The 25521-nt window shown below is 40.2% G+C and overlaps 1 protein-coding gene and 1 pseudogene across 3 annotated transcripts in view, besides 1 other annotated feature; both read right to left on the bottom strand.

Annotated features, from left to right (window-relative positions):
* The window catches only part of TEX36 (testis expressed 36), a 106642-nt gene that overhangs the window by 71007 nt on the left and 10114 nt on the right, over window positions 1–25521 (bottom strand). For 2 of the 3 annotated variants that reach the window (NM_001318133.2, XM_005269817.5), the window contains exons 2-3: window positions 14318–14449; window positions 13493–13573 (exon numbers count right to left, since the gene is read on the bottom strand). In NM_001318133.2, coding sequence (NP_001305062.1) covers window positions 13493–13573; window positions 14318–14449 — 213 coding nt within the window. Of the gene's footprint in view, window positions 1–8165; window positions 8669–13492; window positions 13574–14317; window positions 14450–25521 lie in introns of those variants that run through there. The other variant, NM_001128202.3, reaches the window with a different exon arrangement.
* Window positions 14154–15353: an enhancer, noted in NCBI's record as "CDK7 strongly-dependent group 2 enhancer chr10:127350251-127351450 (GRCh37/hg19 assembly coordinates)". NCBI's record gives its function as "activates an origin of replication core promoter dependent on BRD2, BRD4, P300/CBP, MED14 and CDK7 cofactors, with strong dependence on CDK7, by STARR-seq in HCT116 cells {active_cell/tissue: HCT116}" and the evidence as "EXISTENCE:reporter gene assay evidence [ECO:0000049][PMID:35650434]".
* On the bottom strand, window positions 19152–20528 carry ALDOAP2 (ALDOA pseudogene 2; annotated as a pseudogene).

The raw sequence follows: 25521 nt of genomic DNA on the forward strand, positions 1-25521 counted from the left end.
AAATACATTTGACACAGAGAAGATTCCAAGATGGCCGAATAGGAACAGCTCCAGTCTGCAGCTCCCAATGTGAGTGACACAGAAGATGGGTGATTTCTACATTTCCAACTGAGTTACTGGGTTCATCTCACTGGGGCTTGTCAGACAGTGGGTGCAGCCCACAGAGCAGGGCGGGGCATTGCCTCACCCAGGAAGCACAAGGGGTCAGGGAATTCCCTTTCCTAGCAAAGGGAAGCCGTGACAGATGTTACCTGGAAAATCGGGACACTCCCACCATAATACTGCGCTTTTCCAATGGCCTTAGCAAACAGCACACCAGGAGATTATATCCCGCGCCTGGCTCAGAGGGTCCCACGCCCACAGAGCCTTGGTCACTGCTAGCACAGCAGTCTGAGATCGAACTGCAAGGCGGCAGCAAGGCTGGGGGAGGGGCATCCACCATTGCTGAGGCTTGAGTAGGTAAACAAAGCATCGGGAAGCTCAAACTGAGTGGAGCCCACCACAGCTCAAGGAGGCTGGCCTGCCTCTGTAGACTTCACCTCTGGGGGCAGGGCATAGCCAAACAAAAGGCAGCAGAAACTTCTGCAGACTTAAATGTCCCTGTCTGACAGCTTTGAAGAGAGTAGTGGTTCTCCCAGCATGGGGTTTGAGATCTGAGAACACACAGACTGCCTCCTCAAGTGGGTCCCTGACCCCTGAGTAGCCTCACTGGGAGACACCTACCAGTAGGGGCCGACCAACATCTCATACAGTTGGGTGCCCCTCTGAGATGAAGCTTCCAGAGGAAGGATCAGGCAACAACATTTGCCGTTCTGCAATATTTGCTGTTCTGCAGCCTCCGCTGGTGATACCCAGGCAAACAGCATCCGGAGTGAACCTCCAGCAAACTCCAACAGACCTGCAGCTGAGGGTCCTGACTGTTAGAAGGAAAACTAACAAACAGAAAGGACATCCACAACAAAACCCCATCTGTATGTTACCATCATCAAAGACAAAAGGTAGATAGAACCACAAAGATGGGGAGAAACCAGAGCAGAAAAGCTGAAAATTCTAAAAATCAGAGTGCCTCTTCTCCAAAGGAACGCAGCTCCTCGGCAGCAATGGAACAAAGCTGGATGGAGAATGACTTTGACAAGTTGAGAGAAGAAGGCTTCAGACGATCAGTAATAACAAACTTCTCCGAGCTAAAGGAGAATGTTCGAACCCATCGCAAAGAAGCTAAAAACCTTGAAAAAAGATTAGATGAAAGGCTAACTAGATTTAATAAACAGAGTAGAGAAGTCCTTAAATAATGGAGCTGAAAACCATGGCACGGGAACTACATGACGCATGCACAAGCTTCAGTAGCCGATTCGATCAACTGGAAGAAAGGGTATCAGTGATTGAAGATCAAATGAATGAAATGAAGCAATAATAGAAGTTTAGAGAAAAAAGAGTAAAAAGAAATAACAAAGCCTCCAAGAAATATGGGACTATGTGAAAAGAACAAATCTACGTCTGATTGGTGTACCTGAAAGAGACAGGGAGAATGGAACCAACTTGGAAAACCTCTTCAGGATATTATCCATGAGAACTTCCCCAACCTAGTGAGGCAGGCCAACATTCAAATTCAGGAAATACAGAGAACGCCACAAAGATACTCCTCGAGAAGTGCAACTCCAAGACACATAATTGTCAGATTCACCAAAGTTGAAATGAAGGAAAAAATGTTAAGGGCAGCCAGAGAGAAATATTGGATTACCCACAAAGGGAAGCCCATCAGACTAACAGCAGATCTCTTGGCAGAAACTCTACAAGCCAGAAGAGAGTGGGGGGCCAATATTCAACATTCTTAAAGAATTTTCAACACATAATTTCACATCCAGCCAAACTAAGCTTCATAAGTGAAGGAGAAATAAAATCCTTTACAGACAAACAAATGCGGAGAGATTTTCTCACCACCAGGCCTGCCTTACAAGAGCTCCTGAAGGAAGCGCTAAACATGGAAAGGAACAACTGGCACCAGCCACTGCAAAAACATGTCAAACTGTAAAGACCATCAATGCTAGGAAGAAACTGCATCAACTAATGAGCAAACATCAAACATCATAATGACAGGATCAGATTCACACATAACAATATTAACTTTAAATGTAAATGGGCTAAATGCTCCAATTAAAAGACACAGACTGGCAAATTGGATAAAGAGTCAAGAGCCATCAGTGTGCTGTATTCAGGAGACATATCTCAAGTGCAGAAACATGCATAGGCTCAAAACAAAGGGATGAAGGAAGATCTACGAAGCAAATGGAAAACAAAAAAAAGCAGGGGTTGCAATCCTAGTCTCTGACAAAACAGACTTTAAACCAACAAAGATCAAAAGAGACAAAGAAGGCCATTACGTAATGATAAAGGGATCAATTTATCAAGAAGAGCTAACTATCCTAAATATATATGCACCCAATACAGGAGCACCCAGATTCACAAAGCAAGTCCTTAGAGACCTAGAAAGAGACTTAGATTCCCACACAATAATTATGGGAGACTGTAACACCCCACTGTCAACATTAGACAGATCCATGAGACAGAAAGCTAACAAGGATACCCAGGAATTGAACTCAGCTCTGCACCAAGCAGACCTAATAGACATCTACAGAACTCTCCACCTCAAATCAACAGAATATACATTCTTCTCAGCACCACATAACACTTACTGCAAAATTGACCACATAGTTGGAAGTAAAGCACTCCTCAGCAAATGTAAAAGAATAGAAATTATAACAAACTGTCTCTCAGACCACAGTGCAATCAAACTAGAACTCAGGATTAAGAAACTCACTCAAAACAGCTCAACTACATGGAACCTGAACAACCTGCTCCTGAATGACTACTGGGTACATAACGAAATGAAGGCAGAAATAAAGATGTTCTTTGAAACCAATGAGAACAAAGACACATCATACCAGAATCTCTGGGACCCATTTAAAGCAGTGTGTAGAGGGAAATTTATAGCACTAAATGCCCACAAGAGAAAGCAGGAAAGATCTAAAATCGATACCCTAACATCATAATTAAAAGAACTAGAGAAGCAAGAGCAAACACATTAAAAAGCTAGCAGAAGGGGCAAGAAATAACTAAGATCAGAGCAGAACTGAAGGAGATAGAGACACAAAAAACCCTTCAAAAAAATCAATGAATCCAGGAACTGGCTTTTTGAAAAGATCAACAAAATTGATAGACCACTAGCAAGACTAATAAAGAAGAAAAGAAGAATCAAATAGATACAATAAAAAATGATCAAGGGGATATCACCACCGATCCCACAGGAATACAAACTGCCATCAGAGAATACTATAAACATATCTACACAAATAAACTAGAAAATCTAGAAGAAATGGATAAACTCCTGGACACATACACCCTCCCAAGACTAAACCAAGAAGAAGTTGAATCCCTGAATAGACCAATAACAGGTTCTGAAATTGAGGCAATAATTAATAGCTTACCAACCAAAAAAAGTCCAGGACCAGATGGATTCACAGCCGAATTCTACCAGAGGTACAAAGAGTAGCTGGTACCATTCCTTCAGAAACAATTCCAATCAATAGAAAAAGAGGGAATCCTCCCTAAATCTTTTTATGAGGCCAACATCATCATAATACCAAAGCCAGGCAGAGACACAACAAAAAAGAGAATTTTAGACCAATATCCCTGATGAACACTCATGCAAAAATCCTCAATAAAATGCTGGCAAACCTAAACCAGCAGCACATCAAAAAGCTTATCCACCATGATCAAGTTGGCTTCATCCCTGGGATGCAAGGCTGGTTCAACATATACAAATCAATAAACGTAACCCATCATATAAACAAAACCAAAGACAAAAACCACATGATTATCTCAATAGATGCAGAAAAGGCCTTCGAGAAAATTCAACAGCCCTTCATGCTAAAAATGCTCAATAAACTAGGTATTGATGGGACGTATCTCAAAATAATAAGAGCTATTTATGACAAACCCACAGCCAATATCATACTGAAAGGGCAAAAACTGGAAGCGTTTCCTTTGAAAACTGGCACAAGACAGGGATGCCCTCTCTCACCACTCCTATTCAACATAGTGTTGGAAGTTCTGGCCAGGGCAATCGGGCAGGAGAAAGACATAAAGGGTATTCAATTAGGAAAAGAGGAAGTCAAATTGTCCCTGTTTGCAGATGACATGATTTTATATTTAGAAAACCCCATCATCTCAGCCCAAAATCTCCTTAAGCTGATAAGCAACTTCAGCAAAATCTCAGGATACAAAATCAATGTGCAAAAATCACAAGCATTCCTATACATCAATAACACAAACAGTGAGCCAAATCATGAGTGAACTCCCATTCACAATTGCTTCAAAGAGAATACCTAGGAATCCAACTTACAAGGTATTTGTGAAGGAACTCTTCAAGGAGAACTACAAACCACTGCTCAGTGAAATAAAAGAGGACACAAACAAATGGAAGAACATTCCATGCTCATGGATAGGAAGAATCAATATTGTGAAAACGGCCTTACTGCCCAAGGTAATTTATAGATTCAATGCCATCCCCATCAAGCTACCAATGACTTTCTTCACAGAATTGGAAAAAAACTACTTTAAAGTTCATATGGAACCAAAAAAGAGCCCATATTGCCAAGACAATCCTAAGCCAAAAGAAGAAAACTGGAGGCATCATGCTACCTAACTTTGAACTATACTACAAGTAACCAAAACAGCATGGTACTGGTACCAAAACAGAGATATAGACCAATGGAACAGAACAGAGCCCTCGGAAATAATACCACACATCTACAACCATCTGATCTTTGACAAACCTGACAAAAACAAGAAATGGGAAAAGGATTCCCTATTTAATAAATGGTGATAGGAAAACTGGCTAGCCATATGTAGAAAGCTGAAATGGATCTCTTCCTTACACCTTATACAAAAATTAATTCAAGATGGATTAAAGACTTAAATATTAGACCTAAAACCATAAAAACCCCAGAAGAAAACCTAGGCAATACCCTTCAGGCCATAGGCATGGGCAAGGACTTCATGACTAAAACACCAAAAGCAATGGCAACAAAAGCCAAAATTGACAAATGGGATCTAATCAAACTAAAGAGCTTCTGCACAACAAAAGAAACTACCATCAGAGTGAACAGGCAACCTACAGAATGGGAGAAAATTTTTACAATCTACCCATCTGACAAAGGGCTAATATCCAGATTCTACAAAGAGCTTAAACAAATTTACAAGAAAAAAATCAAACAACCCCATCAAAAAGTAGGCAAAGGATGTGAACAGACACTTCTCAAAGGAAGACATTTATGCAGCCAACAGACACATGAAAAAATGCTCATCATCACTGGCCATCAGAGAAATGCAAATCAAACCACAATGAGATACCATCTCACACCAGTTAAAATGGCGATCATTAAAAAGTCAGGAAACAACAGGTGCTGGAGAGGATGTGGAGAAATAGGAACACTTTTACACTGTTGGTGGGACTGTAAACTAGTTCAACCATTGTGGAAAACAGTGTGGCAATTCCTCAAGGATGTAGAACTAGAAATACCATTTGACCCAGCCATCCTATTACTGGGCATATACCCAAAGGATTATAAATCATGCTGCTATAAAGACACATGCACACGTATGTTTATTGTGGCACTATTCACAATAGCAAAGACTTGGAACCAACCCAAATGTCCATCAATGACAGACTGGATTAAGAAAATGTGGCACATATACACCATGGAATACTATGCAGCCATAAAAAAGGATGAGTTCATGTCCTTTGTAGGGACATGGATGAAGCCGGAAAACATCATTCTGAGCAAACTATTGCAAGGACAGAAAACCAAACACTGCATGTTCTCACTCACAGGTGGGAATTGAACAATGTGAACACCTGGACACAGGGTGGGGACCATCACACACCAGAGCCTGTCATGGGGTGGGGGGAGGGGGGAGGGATAGCATTAGGAGATATACCTAATATAAATGACGAGTTAACAGGTGCAGCAAACCAACATGGCACATGCATACATATGTAACAAACCTGCACGTTGTGCACATGTACCCTAGAACTTAAAGTATAATAATAATAATAAAAATTTTTAAAAAAAGAAATATATTTGACACAAAAGCTTAACATCTTAATATAAAAAGAAATCAGGACCAAGCATGGTAGCTTATGCCTCTAATCCCAGCACAGGAGGACCTCTTGAGGCCAGGAGTTCAAGACCAGCCTGGGCAACATAGCTAGATCCCATCCCTACAAAAAACAATTTTTTAATTAGTTGAGTGTGGTGGCATGCTCCTGTAGTTCTCACTACATAGGAGAATCACTTGAGACTAAGAGTTTGAGGCTGCAGTGAGCTATGATGGCACCACTGCACTCCAGCCTGGGCAACAGAGCTAGATCCTGTCTCTTAAAAAGAAAAGAAAAAGAAAATGAGGATATATACTCTCTGTAATAATATTCCAATTGTACTGGAGGTCCTATCCAGTGCAATAAGATGCGAAAAATATAAATTTTGGAAATGACATAAAAGAATTATCACTTTTATGAATGATATAATTTTCCATTTAGAAAAATCGAGAAGAGAATCAACTGAAACATTATTAGAACTTTCTTTTTATTTTATAGAATATTTATTTATTTATTATTAGAAGTTTAGCCGGTTTGCCAAGTAGAAGATTCATATGTAGAAATCAATAGCTTTCTCATGCATCTGCCAAAACCAATCTAAAAGTGCAATTAAAACATTCAAAATAGCCATAGAATATCAAAATAGCCAATAGAATATCAAAATATACAGGAATAAACATGGAAAAGAAACACATCAGACCCATGTGAGGAAAATTATAAACCTTACTGAAGGACATAAAGTAAATTCAAACAAAGGGGAAGATACAGTATAAAGGTGTTGGTTTTCCCATAAATTAAAAGCTAAATTTGGGGAAATGCCTATCACATTGGCAGTGTTATTTTTGTTGTTGTTTGTTTGTTTACTTTACAAGCTTATTCTAAAATTCATGTACAGAAAAAAATTCAAGATAAACAAGAAAATGGTGGCATGGAATGATGGGGACATTGTCAGTCTATAGAAAGGAAATAGAGGAGGCCACTGTGTGGGAAAAGATACTCAACTTCACTAATAAATAGAGAAATGCAAAATAAGAAAATAACAAGGTACCTTTTTTCCCCTTAAATATCCTTAAATATTTAAATGATAATGTGAGAGGGGATAAAACAGAAATTCACAGGTACGGTTGGTAGGAGTTCAATTGGTCCAGTCTTTTTCAAAGCCAATGCATTATTTCTCAACACTTTGTGCATTACTGTCAACCAAGCACTAACAAAGCAACTTTTCAGAGTCTATCTACTCCAGAGGTGCAGGGAAACATGTATCCAGAGAGGCTGATCAAGCATGTTCATGTAACACTGTGTCTAACAGCAAAAACGCTAGAAATGATTCAAATGTCTATTAAGATAATTATTTAAAACAGAGTGAATTTGTATTTGGGAATATAGGCAGCGATTTTTTAAAAAATCAGTCTATTCTTATAACACTGCAAGAATTCCAAGACACATTATTAAGTATCAAAAGAAAGCTGTAGAAGGCCAGGCGCGGTGGCTCATGCCTGTAATCCCAGCACTTTGGGAGGCCGAGGTGGGAGGATCACTTGGGGCCAGGAATTCAAGACCAGCCTGGCCAAGAAGGTGAGACCTCATCTCTACTAAAAATACAAAAATTAGCCCAGCGTGATGGTGCACACCTGTAATCCCAGCTACCGGGAAGGCTGAGGCAGGAGAATCGCTTGAACCCAGAAGGCAGAGGTTGCAATGAGTCGAGATGGTGCCACTGCACTCCAGCCTGGGTGACAGAGACTGTCTCAAAACAAAATTAAAAAAAAGTTGTAGAATATTTTGCACTGTGTAACATAGTAATGTTGAAAAGTTTATGTGTTATGCACATGTATATGATTGTAAATGCAGATTAAAAACAAGTAGTTAACTTACTTCTGAGGACATACAGGATTGGAGATGTGGTGAAATCAAGGAGGACTTTTGTTTCCTCTGTATGGTTTGAAATTTCAAAATGAAAATGTGACCGTATATTAAGGATGTACTTTTTAAAACTCCCCAAAAGTAAATGTGGCCATCTGAAAAGTTTATTTACACATGCGTATGTCATCACAAATTCATTTCACAAGGATTTGAATGTTTTTTGACCTTATAAAAATCATAAAAGTACTTTAAAAATTAAATAGTGGTGCTGGATCAGAAAACATATACTTTTAGGATGTCTGATGAAATACCAGTATTACAAAATTCATCAAAAATCTTCTGGGAGGATTAGGACTCCAGTGAAGAAACAACCTTTTTGTCAACAGTGAACCTTACTTTGGGCTTCTTTTTCAAAACCTCTGTATAGCTTCTCTCAGGAAGAAATGTAAAAGCGTTCCATATCTCTTTATAGCATCGTGGAAAGCGTCTGAAGCTTGAGACCACCATGGCTTCTTTATATACGTATGATATTTGGTTATTTGAAAAGCCATCAAGACAAGATGGAACATAGTCACATGCCCAGAGATTAAAATTTCTTGAAACATGTTGCCTCTTATCTGGAGAGATCTTCTTACGTCCCAGGCCCTGGAGAGAAGAATTACAAGATTCGAAGGAAAATATTCAAGTTCACATAGTTCTTTTTTTTTTTTTTTTTTTTTTTTTGAGACAGAGTCTTGCTCTGTCACCCAGGCCAGAGTTCAGTGGCACGATCTCAGCTCACTGCAGCCTCTGCCTCCCGGGTTCAAGCAATTCTCATGCCTTAGCCTCCTGAGTAGCTGGGACTACAGGTGGACCCCACCACGCCTGGCTAAGTTTTTGTATTTTTAGTAGAGACAGGGTTTTGCCATGTTGCCCAGGTTGGTTTTGAACTCCTAAGCTCAGGCAATCTGCCCGCCTCAGCCTCCCAAAGCGCTAGGATTACAGGCATGAGCCACCGTGCCCAGCCTCAGTCACATAGTTCTGAGGTCTTTCTTAAAATCAGTTACTTGACATGTATATGTTCAAATGCACACTATGACGACTGTCTCAAGGTCTCCTTTAACAACCTGTTGAAGGTTATGAATTGACACTCACAAAACCCTGGCAGGGTTCTGTTATTGTCCTCACAGTCTTCTGGTGCCACCAAGGGGCCTGCACTTTTAGAGACATGGAAAGCAGAACCAGAGACAATCCAGCCAGAAACAGACTGTTAGCCAGCCTCAACCCTAGGGACCCAGGTAGGTTCCCTTCACTCCCAACACCCCCGACCTTCCCTGCTCCCCAGCACTGAGCTGCCCCCCAGCACTCAGTGGGACCAATGATGATTCTTTCTCTGAAAAGTCTGAGGAGGCTGAATTCTTTCCCAACCCTAAGGGCTCCCTGAAGGACCCAGCACCTTTAGGTCCTGGCCCACAGGCTTCCTCATTCACTCTCAGCACCTTACGTGCGAACCTGATAATTACTGTGTACTCAAAATTGTACATTCTGTTTGTTCACAACTAGATGAAAACTAAGAAAGAAAACACTATACTGACATGAGTGACTGAGAGGAAATGGACATTACGTTACATAGATTTCACGTCAGTAAAGTGAGGTTTCTGTGATGAAGGGTCAGTGTCAGATTTGCAGCAGGAGATGCAAGCCACATTCCAATTAGAGTAATTTGAGGACAGTCTATAAAGGGACTGTCTACATACGTGTGGGTGTGTGTAAGGACACCCCAAGGGGCTGTGCAATGGCTCCAGGACTGAGGGGACTGGGGAGGGATGTACTCCACATAGATCAGCCCCCAGAACCAGAGTAGGGAGAAGAGGAGAGTGGGACTGGAGGGACAAGTGTATGACGCGGGGCACAATGTCCAAGTCGGCTTCTAAAGAATGACTTGAGGATACTCCAGCAAATTGAAAAACAAGTAAAAGAAAGGCATGATGAAAATAGGGGAAAGAGCTTCAAGGAAAGCAGCAAGTAAAATTTATGATGAAATCTAAATGCTTGCTAATAATGTGACTATGAAATGTACTGAATTGTACAAATTCACAAAATGGAAAGGAGGGAGGGAAACAGAAAGAAAAGAATCTGCAACTGAAATCCCAGGATTTCAACTTGATTAGGGAAATCAGGGCCACATCTTTGAGCTCCCAGCTGAAGTCCAGGAATGGCACCTACAGGGCTTGGGGGAATACAACCTGGCCACCAACACAGCAGCCCTGGAACAGGAAGTGAGTGAGATAAAGCATGCTGGAAGACTTACCTTATTCTTGGGGAAAAGCTACAGTTATTAATTTTTATACATACAGTAATATAGTGTTAATATAATTATTAAATATTTGTACTTGAGGGCAAGTACTTGTAGAATATCAGTAGAAGTCAGAGTGAGCAAATAAATTCAATCAATCTAGCAAAGTCAGGAGAAGAAGAAAAAAAGAAAAATATAAGCATAATAAATAGGAAACATGAGATGGCAGAAATAAAACCAAAAGCATAAATTGTCATAATAATGTGAATGGGCTAAATTCTCATATAAAGAAATAGATTCTTCGATTTTTTTTAAAACTCTGCTGCATTATATTTATAATAGAAGACAAATGCAAAGCAAAATGACTACAAATTATGGAGACAAAGGAATGGCCCATAACATAAAGAACAAACATTAGCAAAAAGAGAGTAATAGTGACAATGCCAGTATCATAATGTAGATAGAATTTATGGCTAAAGGCATTAATGCATATAAAGAGAAACACTTCATATTGATAAACGGCAAAAGCCACCATGAAAATAAAACAACAAAAATTTTTGATGCAGAAAGATAAGGTATTAAACTATATCAGGCAAAAAAAACTTTAGAAACTCAAGAATAATCTTAGAAGCAGAAATTGACAGATCAATACAAAAATTAAGACAAGGATATGAAAGATTTAAATAATTCACAGTCCTAAATTAATAAATATAAAGAACTTTGTAACCAACAGGGGGGAATATATATTATTTGTAAACAGCCACGACACACTTGTTAAAGTTAATCACACACAAGACAACAAAGATAATCTCATAATTCAAAAAGTGAGAATCTTAGATTATACTCTGAAATTTACCATAACCCATAAAACTAGATATTAGCAATGAATAGATTATTTCTAAAATTTTTAACCATATAGATAATTCAAAACATTCTTCCAATTTTTTTAGGAAAGGGAAAAATTAAAAATTAAATCATAGGCTATTTGAAAGCAAATAATAATGAGACCTTAATTGGAAAAACCTTTGGGATGTAGTCAAACCAATAATCTAAAGACTACTTATAGTTTTAATAAATTATTAACAAAAACAATTGCAAGTATGTGAACTAAACATTCAACTGAAAACAAATTTTAAGGAACAACAAAATAAGACTATTTTGAGAGATGTTATACCGTACATTTGAAATGAATTAGATAAATTTTAGGCAAATACGTATCAGCAAAATCTACCCAAGAAGAGATAGAAAGTTTGAATAGATTAATAATCAAGAAAGAAAGAAAAAGTCATAAAAACCTTACTCTAAAAAATATACCAAACCCAAGTTATTTCATAGGCAAATTCTGTCTAACCTCCATTAAACTGAAAACTTCCATTAAACTGAAAATCCAAATGTTATATAAGCTATTCCAGAACATAGAGAAAGTTGGAAAGCTTCCAAGGCTTTCTAGAAGACTATCATAACCTTGGCAAAATACAAGTGGTAGAATCCTGTTTATATCATTAACAAATATACATTTATGTGTGTACATCTGCATGTGAATTGGAAAAACTCTCAAATTTTACCCACAAAACCATTACTAGCAGTGAATCGTCAAGGTCAGATTGTGAGGAAGGAAAATAAGGGTGTGAATTTATTTTTAATTTTATACAATTCTGTATGATTTCAGTTTTTTAAAGGACATATGTTGCTTTGGTTATTTAAAAAACAATATTAAGCACCCCATGTACAGAGGCAGGCAAAGTGGGTATTCTGGTCCTGTTTTCAACATTCTGCCAGAAGAAAACCAGATTTCTGGGGTTAAGGCACTTCTATTTAGTTAAGACACTGTAGTCTAGAAGAAAGAGGGATTTGGGGCAAGTTGTTTAACTTTACTGGATCTCAATTTGCTCATCTCTAAATTGAGATGATAAGTGTAATTAGCCTGTAGGATTGTTGTGAGGATTGAATACAATAATACGAGATGTTGGTATATGGCAGATGCTTTATAAATGGTGGGCCATTAATAACACCTTCATTATCATGGACTTTCAGGTTCCATGAGGATTTGCAGGTATCACTTGATACAGCTTTCTATCTAATAGGTTTCCCTGTGCTGTGCAGTCTGGTAGCCCCTAGCCACATGTAGCCATTGGGCACTTGATATGTGAGTTGTCTACGTTGAGATGTTACATAAGTGTAAAACACAAACTGTATTTTAAAGACTTGGTTTGGAAGGAAGAATGTAAAATATCTCATTAATTTTTTATATTGATTACATGTTGAATGGGCAATTTGGAGAATTATTGGGCTAAATAAATTATTTTTGTTTGCTTGAGATAGGATCTCACTCTGACACCCAGGCTGGAGTGCAGTGTTCGTGATCATAGCTCACTGCAGCCTTGAACTCCTGAGCTCAAGTGAACCTCCCACCTCAATCTTTTGAGTAGCTGGGACAACAGGCATGCACCACCACACCTGGTTAATTTTTTAATGTTTTGTAGACACGGGGTCTTACTATGTAGCCCAGGCTGGTCTCAAGCTCCTGACCTCAAGTGATCCTCCCACCTCAGCCTCCCAAACTGCTGGGATTTCAGGGCTGAGCCACTGCTCCCAGCCAATAGAATATATTATTAAAGTAAATTTCACCTGTTTCTTTGTACTTAATGTAACCACTAAAGCATTTAAAATTATGCATACAGTTTACACTACATTTCTATCACACAGTGCTGTGTGAACCACCACTGTATCAGACTTCATGTTCTCCAGTGATGGGGAACTCACAACCTGTAGAGAAAAGGCAACTCCAGTTACAAGGAAATCCTTCCTTATATTATGTAAGCTCCTCCTCCTTCTGACCTTTCCTCGTGGATCCTGGTTCTGCCATCCAGAGATACGCATAGCAGTCCCTCCTTCCCATGGCAGATCCTCACAAGAAAGCTCGCAAAAGAGACAATTTATGGGAAGGCACTTGCAGAAGGATGAAGCGCACTTACACCTAGGCAGAACACTGGTGTAGATCTTGAAAGCGGCGTGGAATTCTGAGAGCTTTGAACATTTTTTTTTTAATCTGTTATGAGTCTTGTTTAAGACCTCGCTTTGTTTTGACCTTGTTCCAGTTTTGAGGCCAATCCTCTATCTTCAACACACCCCAGAAAATCAAGATCCCTTGTGTTGTTCCCTGTTTTATTAATAATTTGGAAAGAAATACTCACGGAGTCAAGGTAGCATCCAGAGTTCTCCAAGCTGTGCCGATTGTCATGCACGGAGAAGGGGAACTGGTTATTCACTGCTTGCTGGAAAAGTGGGATGGAAGGGAAAGAGCACACATTAGAACCCTGCATGCTTTCAGAACTGGGATCGGGTGATGTGGAAGGAAGATGGATGAGGCAAAGCGACCTCTAAGAAAGACAATGAAACCTGGCCCCAGAGATGGAGCAGACACAGGAGGGGGAGGATATCCACGTGCTCATCAGCGCCGGGCTTTGAAACCCCACCTTATTTCCAGCTTCCCCAAAGTCATAAAAATTATCTTTCAAAACACCTTATTTGGATGCAAGGATGGAAAAGTGTACAGGCTCATGGAGCCAAAAACTGGGAAGGACTTTTGAGGCCGTGTAGACCAACTCTGTCATCTGGCCAGTAAGGGTCCCAGGAGATGAGAGCCCTGGCCCAAGGCCTGGGGGGAACCCTGGCAGGTATGAAATGGACCCTGGCTTCTCCTTTGTGCCACTGCAGGGCCTGGAAGTTGCTCAGGAATTGGCCGGGGAGGCAGGAGGTGCATGTTAATGAGCTGTGGGCTGGAAGGGGGTGTTGCTTCTTGTTCGTGGAGGAGCCTAACTTGATTGTCCATAGCAGGAAGTAGTTCCTGCCGCAGAGCACCAGGGTATGGGGTGGGGATACTACCAACCCTTAGGGGTCCAAGGATAGTAAATGCGCAGTTTCTTACAAAGAAGAATTGTTTGGCCCAACGTGCCAGCGGCGCTGCCCCCTGGGAGGTCCACAGGAGCACATGGCAGTGGCCAGTGTTCAGGACTCACCTTCTCCCGGACTTTGTATATGGGCGGCAGCTTCCCCTCCGCTTGCCGAGGCAAGTGTGGACTCTGGGGCTCTTTTGACGTAGCACTGGTGATGGATTCTGGTGTCTTTTGCGTTAGCCCGATGTGAGGGAACTGGAAGAACAGCACACGCCTTGATTAAAACCAGACACATTTGAATCTACAAGCCAAGTATCAGGGCTTCCTTTGTACAGTGATTAAAATGCAATTTGGGTGCTTTTGGCATGCAATGGAAATGGCATAATTTTTGTAATTTTCAAGTATTCTTTCCAAGACAAAAAACATTGTAATGGCCCAGAGCCATCACTGCCGGTTGTTTCAAGTTACAGAGGCCACCCCTGCTGAGCTGGAGCCTGGAAATGTTTCCATAGCCTGGTAAGGAGGGTGTGGTCCTCAGTGAGTGAGCAGACACATTCTGAGAAGACAGAAATGTGTTATTTGAGATCCTTCCTGTGGTCAGGGAGCTCCCAGTACTGAGGACCTTGGAGCCAACCCACGTTTATGGAGATGAGCCAACCTCCAGCAATGTAGGTATGAGGTGGCCCTAAGACCACGGGAAGGGGAGGAACAGAGAATCTCAAGTGATTCTCCACTGGAAATGTAGGATGGTAGAGGGGAGGTAACGTCTAGGAGGGAAAAAGAGGGGGTAGAAGGATGTGAAGCAAGAAAAATGAGGACTGAGGATTATCTAGAATATGTCCTTGCAATCTCCCAACAAAAGCCTGGGAAGGAAACAGGACTGGGCAGAAGAGGGGTAGTCCCAACAAGGGCCTCTGTTGACCCGGCTGGGAGCTCTGGACATTGGGTGGCCACTCAGAGCTGGGGAGAGGGGACCCAGTCTCTGTGCACCAAGCAATGAGGCATTGGATTTATTCCTGAGCTACCCCCAGAAGAAGGCGTGACCCTAGGGAGGCAGCTCTCTTCAGATAACAGACCTGTAGGTGTGGGCAGTGAGGGCCATGCTCCCAGCAGCCAGAGTGATGAGTCTTTCATTCCTGAAGGGGGGTGTGGCTAGCTCTTATGGCAAGAGAAGCTCACCCCAATGTTATTTGAATGGTGCCTCTTAAAAGCCACCCCAACAAAGTGAGCTCTGAAGCAGGACTCTCTAGGAGGAAATGAATGGAAATTAAAAAGACAAGACCCAATTCAATGAAAATTCCCATAAAGGGAGAAGGAAGCATAATGTGGTTGGGTCAGAGGCTGGACATTCAGAGGTCCTGAGTCCACCCCAGGTCTCTCTCCTATCTCCTAGGTGAGCCTGATGAGAGAGACTAAACTTTCTCAAGCCTCGGTTTCCCTATCTGTAAAATGGGAATAATAATACCTACCTGATATGGTAGATTTGATACAAAGAGGAAATGTATACACTCCAATAGTGTGAATAGTTTGCAAATGTTTTTGGCTAAATAGCAATCACATTTTCATTCTCCATTCGTCAATTTATGAACACTTAGGTTGATTCTATGTCTTTGCTATTGTGAATAGTGCTGCAATAAACATGCAAGTGCAGGTATCCCTCAGATATATTGATTTTTTTTAGTAGATACTCAGTAGTAGCATTGCTGGATCAAATGGTAATTTCTCGTTTGAGAGTTTTGAGAAATCTCCATACTATTTTCCATAGTGGCTCTACTAGTTTACATTTCCACCAAAAGTGTATAAGAGTTCCCTTCTCTCCCCATCCTCGCCAACATCTGTTATTTTTTGTCTTTTTAGTAATAGCTATTCTGACTGGGATAAGATGATATCTCATCGTGGTTTTTATTTGCATTCCCCTGATGATTAGTGATGTTTAGCATGTTTTCATATGCCTGTTTCCCATTTATATGTCTCCTTTTTTAAATTTTTTAAATTTTTTATGTGTACATAGTAGCTGTATATATTTATGGGGTACATAAGATATTTTGATACAGGCATACAGTGTGTAATAATCACATCAGGGGAAATGGAGGATCCATCACCTCCAGCATTTATCATTTCTTTGTGTTACAAACAATCCAATTATACTTTTAGTTTAAAATGTACAATAGATTATGATTGACTGTAGTCACCCCCCTGTCATGCTATCAACTACTAGATCTTATTCATCCTAACTATATTTTTGTACCATTTTCCATCCCCATGTCCCTCACCACTACCTTTCCTAGCCTCTGATAACCATCATTCTACTCTCTATGAGTTCAACTGTTTTAATACTCAGCTTCCACAAAGGAGTGAGAACATGTGAAAAGTTTGCCTTTCTATACCTGGCTTATTTTACTTAACATTTCCTCCAGTTCCATTTACATTGTTGCAAATGACAGAATCTCATTCATTTTTATGGCTGAATAGTACTTCATTTTGTATGTGTACCATATTTCTTTATCCATTCATCTATTGATAGACACTTAGGTTGCTTCCAAATCTTGGCTATTGTGAATAGTGCTGCAATAAACATGGGAGTGCAAATATCTCCTCAGTATACTGATTTCCTTTCTTTTGGGTATATACCTAGCAGTGGGATTGCCGAATCACATGGTAGTTCTATTTTTAATTTTTTGAGGAACCTCTATACTATTTTCCATAGTGGCTACTATGGTTTGGCTCTAATATGGTTGTCCCCATGCAAATCATCTTGAATTAGAATCCCCAAATGTCAGAAGAGGCGCCTGGTGGGAGGTGATTGGATCATGGGGGCGGATTTCCCCCTTGCTGTTTTCATGATAGTGAGTGAGTTCTCATGAGATCTGATGGTTTAAAAGTGTGGCACATCCCCCTTTGCTCACTGTCTCTCCTGCTGCCATGTAAGATATGCCTTGCTTCCCTGTCACCTTCTGCCATGATTGTAAGTTTCCTGAGGCCTCCCCAGCCATACAGAACTGTGAATCAATTAAACCTCTTTTCTTTATAAATTACCAGTCTCAGGTAGTCCTTTATAGCAGTGTGAAAACAGACTAATACAGTGGCTGTACTAATTTACATTTCCACCAGCAGTGTACAGGTGTTCTCTTTTCTTGATATCCTCACCAGCATTTGTGATTGCCTGTCTTTAGGATAAAAGCCATTTTAACTGGGGTGAGATGATATCTCATTGTAGCTTGGATTTCCATTTATCTGATGATCAATGATGTTGAGCACCTTTCCATATACCTGTTTGCCGTTTGCATGTCTTCTTTTGAGAAATGTCTATTCATGTCCTTTGCTCACTTTTTAATGGAATTACTTGGTTTTTTGGTTGTTGTTGTTGTTGTTGTTGTTTTACAGTTGAGTTGTTTGAGTTCCCTGTATATTCTGGATATTATTCCCCTGTCAGATGAATGGTTTGCAAATATTTTCTCCCATTCAACAGATTGTCTGTTTACTCTTTTGATTGTTTCCTTTGCTGTGCAGAAGCTTTTTGATTTAATATAGTTCCATTTGTCTATTTTCATTTTTGTTGTTTATGCTTTGGAGATCTTAGTCATAAATTTTTTGTCTAAACCAAGGTTCAGAAGAGTTTTCTCTAGGTTTTCTTCTAGTGTTTTTTACAGTTTCAGATCTTATATTTAAGTCTTCAATTCATTTTGAGTTGATTTTTTTATATGGTGAGATATAGGTGTCCAGTTTCTTTCTTCTGCATGTGGCTATCCAATTCTTTCAGTACCATTTATTGAACAGGGTGCTGCTTCCCCGATATAAGTTCATATTGGCTTTGTCAAAGATCAGTTTTCTGGGTTCTCTATTCTGTTCCATTGGTCTGTGTGTCTAATTTTATACAAATGCCATGCTGTTTTGGTTACTATAGTCTTGTAATAAGTGATGCCTCCAGCTTTGTTCATTTTGCTCAAGATTCCTTTGGTTATTCTGGCTCTTTTTTATTCCATATGAATTTTAAGATTGTTTTTTCTAATTCTGTGAAGAATGACATTGGTATTTTGATAGAGGTTGCATTGAACCTGTAGATTGCTTTAAGCAATATGGTCATTTTAATGATGTATTCCGACGCAGGAGCATGAGATATTTTTCCATTTGTTTGTGTCATCTTTAATTTCTTTCATCAATGTTTTATAGTTTTTCTTATAGAGATATTTTACCTCCTTGGTTAAATTTATTCTTATATATTTTTGTAGCTATTATAAATGAAATTGCCTTCTTGATTTCCTTCTTAGCTAGATCATTGCTGATATATATAAAAGCTACTGCTTTTTGTATGTTGATTTTGTATCCTGCAACTTTACTGAATATATTTATCAGATCTAAGTGGGGTTTTTTTTGGTAGAGTATTTAGGTTTTTCTAGATATAATATCATGTCCTCAGCAAAAAGAGACAGTTTCACTTCTTCTTTTCCAATTTGGATGCTTTTTATTTCTTTCTCTTGACTGATTGCTCTGGCTAGGACTTCTAGTACTATGTTGAATAGGAATGGTGAAAGTGAGAATCCTTGTCTTGTTTCAGTTCTTGGAGCAAAGGCGTTCAACTTTACTCCATTCAGTATGATGTTAGCTGTGGGTTGGCTGTATATGGTCTTTGTTATTTTGAGTTATGTTCCTTCTATGTCTAGTTTGTTGAGAGTGTTTATCATAAAGCGATGTTGAATTTTATCAAATGCTTTTTCTGTGCCTATTGAGATAATCATATGGTTTTTGTCCTTCATTTTGTTGGTGTGATGTGTCATGTTTACGGATTTGTGTGTGTCGAAGCATCCTTGCGTCCCTGCTATAAATCCCACTTGATCACGGTATATTGTCTTTTTGATGTGCTGTTGCATTTAGTTTGCTGGTATTTTGTTGAGAAATTTTGTATCTATGTTCATTGGGGATACTGGCTGTAGTTCTCTCCCCGCCCCCCCTCCTCCAACCTTGAATAGCTGTTTATTGGCAGTGTGCTGGAAAGGGTGATGGAGTTAGCATTCACAGACGACACCACACACCACTGTCACGAGGGAGGCAAGAGCACGGGCAAGCCAACCTGGAGACCTGAGGAGAAGGCCCGCTCTTCAAGAGAGTAGGGGCGGGGCCTGGAGTGTTGGGAACAGCCGGGGAACACCTCCACTTAGTAGGTATGGTTAGAGATGAAGAGGGACTCTCTAGCAGCAGCCCCAGTCTCACTGCTTGGGGTGTACTTTCCTTGACAGGCCAGGCTGTTGGCCACGGCTCACTTGACTCCTCCTGGGCAGCCTTCAGGTTCTCCTTCTTCCTGCCCCAGGCCTTCAGGGCAGAGGCCTGCAGGGCTCGGCCATAGGAGAAGGTCACAGGGAGCACTTGTTAATGGCGTTGAGGTTGATGGATGCCTCCTCCTCATTCTGGCCTCCAGACAGGAATGTGATCCCAGGGACAGCGGGGGGCACTGTGCGGTGCAGCGTTGTGACAGTCACCATGGCAATCTCCTCGTGAGAAAACTTCTGGATGCAGGGATGGCCTGGGGTGACCATGCTGGGGTTCAGCAAGATGCCCTCCAAGATAGATGTGTTGATCACTCAGAGCCTTGTAGACAGCAGTCAGCACCTTCTTGGTCACACACTGGCAGTGCTTCAAGTCATGGTCCCCATTAGGGGGGATCTCAGGCTCCGCAATGGGCACAATGCCACTCTGCTAGCAGATGCTGGCATGACAGGCCAGGACGTTGGTATTTTCCATGACGGCAAGGGCTGAGGGGGTGTGTTCCCCAATCTTCAGAACACAATGCCACTTGGTGAAGTCAGCTCCATCCTTCTTGTACTGGGCACAGCACTCAGACAGCCCATACAACCCTTGGGTGGTGGTCTCGCCATTTGTCCCTGCAAGGGAGACCACGCCCTTGTCTACCTTGCTGCCCCCAACACCACCCTTGGACATGACAACTTGGGGGAAAGGACGCCCATCATCCTTCTTCTGGTAGAGTGTCTGGTGGAAGAGGATGACGTCCCCGATGCAGGGGTTCACGCAGTCGTCAGCTGTCAGCAGCAGCTGACAGTAGAAGCGCCAGTTCTCTTTGGTGTTCTCGGCGTTAAGGGACTGCAGCCGCTTGGCAATGCTCCCAGTGGACTCATCTGCAGCCAGGATGCCCTTGCCCAGTGCCACGATGCGGTGAGCGATGTCAGACAGCTCCTTCTTCTGCTCCAGGGTCAATGCTGGATATCGGTAGGGCATGGTGCTGGTGGTGGCAAGTTCCAGTGCTTCAAAGGAAATTTCTTCCTTGGAAATCCAGACGGAGGCCCTTGGTTGTCAACAGAAATAAATCTTTGGCCAGGGATCTCCTAAAATAACTGAGAGTCTGTGGACAGAGTGTGGTTGGGGCACCTCTGCATACCCTGTAGTTGTCTTTTTTTTGTTGTGTCTATCTCTGGTTTTGGTATCAGTGTGATGCTGGTTGGCCTCATAGAATGAATTAGGGAGAATTCCCTCCTCTTTAATATTTTGAAATAGTTTCAAGACAATTGGTATTTGGGTTTTGTTTGGTAAAATTCAGCTGTGAATCCAACCAGTTCTGGACTTTTCTTTGTTGGGAGATTTTTTTTTTTTAATTACTGATTCAGTCTCACTATTCAGCATTGCTCTGTTCAGATTTTCATTCCTTCCTGATTCAATCTTGGTAGGTTGTATGTTTTCAGGAATTTATTTATTTCCTCTGGGTTTCCCAGTTTGTCAGCATATAGTTGTTCACAGTAGTCTCCAACTTTTTTATTTAAAAAAAGATCTCCAACTTTTTATTTAATAAAAGATCTCCACAGATCTTTTATATTTCTGTGGTCTTACTTGTAATGTCTCCTCTTTCATTTCTGATTTTGTTTATTTGGGTTTTCTCTTTTGTGGCTAGTCTAGCAAGGAGTTTATCAATTTTGTTTTTCTTTTTTAAAGAATCAACTTTTAATTTCATTGATCCTTTGTATTTTCTTTTAGTCTCTATTTCATTTAGTTCTGGCTCTGGTCTTTATTATTTCTTTTCTTCTGCTAATGCTGGGTTTGGTTTATTCTTGCTTTTCTAGTTCCTTGGAGTGCATTGTTGATAGTTAATTTATGTAATCTTTCTACCATTTTTGATGTAGGTATTTATTGCTATAAATTTTCCTCTGCTTGGCCGGGCACGGTGGCTCACGCCTGTAATCCCAGCACTTTGGGAGGCTGAGGCAGGTGGATCACCTGAGGTCAGTAGTTCAAGACCAACCTGGCCAACATGGTGAAACCCTGTCTCTACTAAAAATACGAAAGTTGCCAGGTGCAGTGGCTCATGCCTGTAATCCCAACACTTTGGGAGGCTGAGGCAGGCAGATCACGAGGTCAAGAGATCGAGACCATCTTGGCCAACATGGTGAAACCCTGTCTCTAATAAAAGTACAAAAATTAGCTGGGTGTGATGGTGTGCACCTGTAGTCCCAGCTACTCGGGAGGCTGAGGCAGGAGAATTGCTTGAACCCAGGAGGCGGAGGTTGCAGTGAGCAGAGATCGCACCACTGCCCTCCAGCCTGGAAACAGAGTGAGACTCCATCTCAAAAAAAATAAATAAATAAAATAAATAAATAAATACAAAACTTAGCTGGGCATGGTGGCAGGCACCTGTAATCCCAGCTACTCGGAAGGCTGAGGCAGGATAATCACTTGAACCTGGGAGGCGGAGGTTGCAGTGAGCCAAGATCATGCCATTGCACTCCAGCCTGGGCAACAAGAGTGAAACTTTGTCTCAAAAAAAAAAAGAAAAATTCCTCGGCTTTTGCTGTATCCCAAAGGTTTGGGTATGTAGAGTTTCCATTTTCATTTGTTTTAAGAATTTTTTAAATTTTTATCTTTTTAAAATTTATTTAACTTTATTTTAAGTTCTGGGATACAAGTGCAGGAGAGGCAGTCTTGTTACATAGGTAAAAGTGTGCCATGGTGGTTTGCTGCACCTATCAACCTGTCACCTAGGTATTAAGCCCCACATGCATTAGCTATTTTTCCTGATGCTCTCCCTCCCACACCCCCCGTAACAGGCCCCAGTGTGTGTTGTTTCCTTCCCTGTGTCCATGTGTTCTCATTGTTCAGCTCCCATTTATAAGTGAGAACGTGATAGTGTTTGGTTTTCTGTTCCTGTCTTAGTTTGCTGAAGATAATGGCCTCCAGCTCCATCCAGATTCCTGCAAAGGACATGATCTCATTCCTTTTTATGGCTGCATAATATTCCGTGGTGTACATGTACATTTTCTTTATCCAGTCTATCATTGATGGATGTTTGGGTTGACTCCATGTCTTTGCTATTGTGAATAGTGCTGCAAGAACATACGCATGAATGTATCTTTATAATAGAATGATTTCTATTCCTTTGGGTATATACCCAGTAACAGTATTGCTGGATCAAATGGTATTTCTGGTTCTAAGTCTTTGAGGAATCACCCACTGTCTTCCACAATGGTTGAACTAATTTACATTCCCACCAATAGCGTAAAAGCATTCCTATTTCTCCATAGCCTCACTAGCATCTGTTGTTTCTTGACTTTTTAATAATTGCCATTCTGACTGGCATCAGATGGTATCTCATTGTGGTTTTGATTTGCATTTCTCTAATGATCAGTGATGCTGAGCTTTTTTTCATATGTTTGTTGGCCGCATAAATGTCTTCTTTTGAGAAGTATCTGTTCATGTCCTTTGCCCACTTTTTAATGGGGTTTTTTTCTTGTAAATTTGTTTAAGTTCCTTGCAGATTCTGGTTATTAGACCTTTATGAGATGGATAGATTGCAAAAAATTTCTCTCATTCTGTAGGTTGCCTGTTCATTCTGATGATAGTTTATTTTGCTGTGCAGAAGCTCTTTAGTTTAATTAGATACAATTTGTCAATTTCTGCTTTTGTTGCAATTGCTTTTGACATTTTAATCATGTAATATTTGTTTGCCCTTTCCTATGTCCTGAAGGGTATTGCCTAAATTTTCTTCTAGGGTTTTTATAGTTTTGGGGTTTACATTTCAGTCTTTAGTCTGTCTTGAGTTAATTGTTGCATAAGGAAGGGGTCCAGTTTCAATTTTCTGCATATTACTAGCCAGTTCTCCCAGCACCATTTATTAAATAGGGAATCCTTTTCCCATTGCTTGTTTTTTTCAAGTTTGTTGAAGATCAGATGGTTGTAGATGAGCAGTCTTATTTCTGAGTTATTTTGTTCCATTGGTCTATGTGTCTGTTTTTGTACTAGTATCATGCTGTTTTGGTTACTCTAGCTTTGTAGTATAGTTTGAAGTCAGGTAGCATGATGCCTCCAGTTTTTTTCTGAGATTATGGGGTTTTCTAGATATGGGATCATGCCATCTGCAAACAGACAGTTTGACTTCCTCTCTTCCTGTTTGAATACACTTTATTTCTTTCTCTTGCCTGATTGTCCTGTCCAGAACTTCCAAATACTTTGTTGAATAGGAATGGTGAGAGGGGTCATCCTTGTCTTGTGCTGGTTTTCAAGGGGAATGCTTCCAGCTTTTACCCATCCAGTATGACATTCACTGTGGGTTTGTCATAAATGGCTCTTATAATTTTGACGTATGTTCCATCAGTACCTAGTTTATTGAGTTTTTAACATGAAGGGATGTTGAATTTTATTAAAGGTCTTTTCTATGTCTATTGAGATAATCATGTGGTTTTTGTCTTTAGTTCTGTTCATGTGATGAATTACATTTATTGATTTGCATACATTGAACCAGCCTTGCATCCTGGGGATGAAGCTGACTTGATCATGGTGGATAAGCTTTTTGATGTGCTGCTGGATTCAGTTTGCCAGTATTTTATTGAGCATTTTTGCATCAATGTTCATCATGGATATTGGCTTTAAGTTTTCTTTTTTTATTGTGTCTCTGCCAGGTTTTGGTATCAGAATGATGCTGGCCTCATAAAATGAGTTAGGAAGAAGTACCTCCTTTTCAATTGTTCTGAAAAGTTTCAGGAGAAATGATACCAGCTCTTTTTTGTACCTCTGGTAGAATTCAGCTGTAAATCCATCTGGTCCTGAGCTTTGTTTGGTTGGTAGGCTATTAATTACTGCCTCAATTTCAGAACTGTTATTGGTCTATTCAGGGATTCAACTTCTTCCTGATTTAGTGTTGGGAGAATGCATGTGTCCAGGAATTTATCCATTTCTTCTAGATTTTCTAGTTTATTTGCATAAAGGTGTTCATAATATTCTCTGATGTTTGGTTATATTTCTGTGGGGTCAGTGGTCATATCCCCTTTATCATTTTTCATTGTGTCTATTTGATTCTTCTCTCTTTTCTTCTTTATTAGTCTAGCTAGTGGTCTATTTTATTAATGTTTTCAAAAAAACCACCTCCTAGATTCATTGATTTTTTTTGAAATGTTTTTTGTATCTCTATCTCCTTCAGTTTCGCTCTGATCTTGGTTATTTCTTGTCTTCTGCTAGCTTTGGGGTTCATTTGCTCTTAGTTCTCTAGTTCTTTTAGTTGTGATGTTAGTGTGTCAATTTGAGATCTTTCTAGCTTTTTGATGTGGGCATTTGGTGCTATAAGTTTCCTTCTTAACACTGCTGTAGCTGTGTCCCAGAGATTCTGGTACATTGTCTCTTTGTTCTCATTGATTTCAAAGAACTACTTGATTTCTGCCTTAATTTCATTATTTTTCCAGGAGTCATTCAAGAGCAGATTGTTCAAATTCCATGTAGTTGTGTGGTTTTGAGTGAGTTTCTTAATCTTGAGTTATAATTTGACTGCACTGTGGTCTGAGAGACAGTTTGTTATTATTTCACTTCTTTTGCATTTGCCGAGGAGTGTTTTACTTCCCATCATGTGATCAGTTTCAGAGTAAATGCCATGTGGCACCAAGAAGAATGTATATTCTGTTCTTTTTGGATGGAGACTTCTGTAGGTATCTATCAGTTCCCCTTGATCCAGAGCTGAGTTTGAGTCTTCAGTATTCTTGTTAATTTTCTGTCTCAATGATCTAACATTGACAGTGGGGTGTAAAAGTCTCCCACTATTATTGTGGGGAGTCTAAGTCTCTTTGTAGTTCTCTAAGAACTTGTTTTATGAATCTGAGTGCTCCTATATTGGGTGCATATATATTTAGGATAGTTAGCTCTTCTTGTTGAATTGATCCCTTTACCATTATTCAATGCCCTTCTCTGTCTTTTCTGATCTTTATTGGTTTAAAGTGTGTTTTGTCCAGAAACTAGGCTCACAACCCCTGTTTTTTTCTGATTTCCATTTGTTTGGTAAATTTTCCTTCATCTCTTTATTTTGAGGCTATGTGTGTCTTTGCACGTGAGATGGGTCTCTTGAATAC

The sequence above is a fragment of the Homo sapiens genome, chromosome 10 (assembly GCF_000001405.40).
Source record: "Homo sapiens chromosome 10, GRCh38.p14 Primary Assembly".
Lineage (NCBI taxonomy): Eukaryota > Metazoa > Chordata > Mammalia > Primates > Hominidae > Homo > Homo sapiens.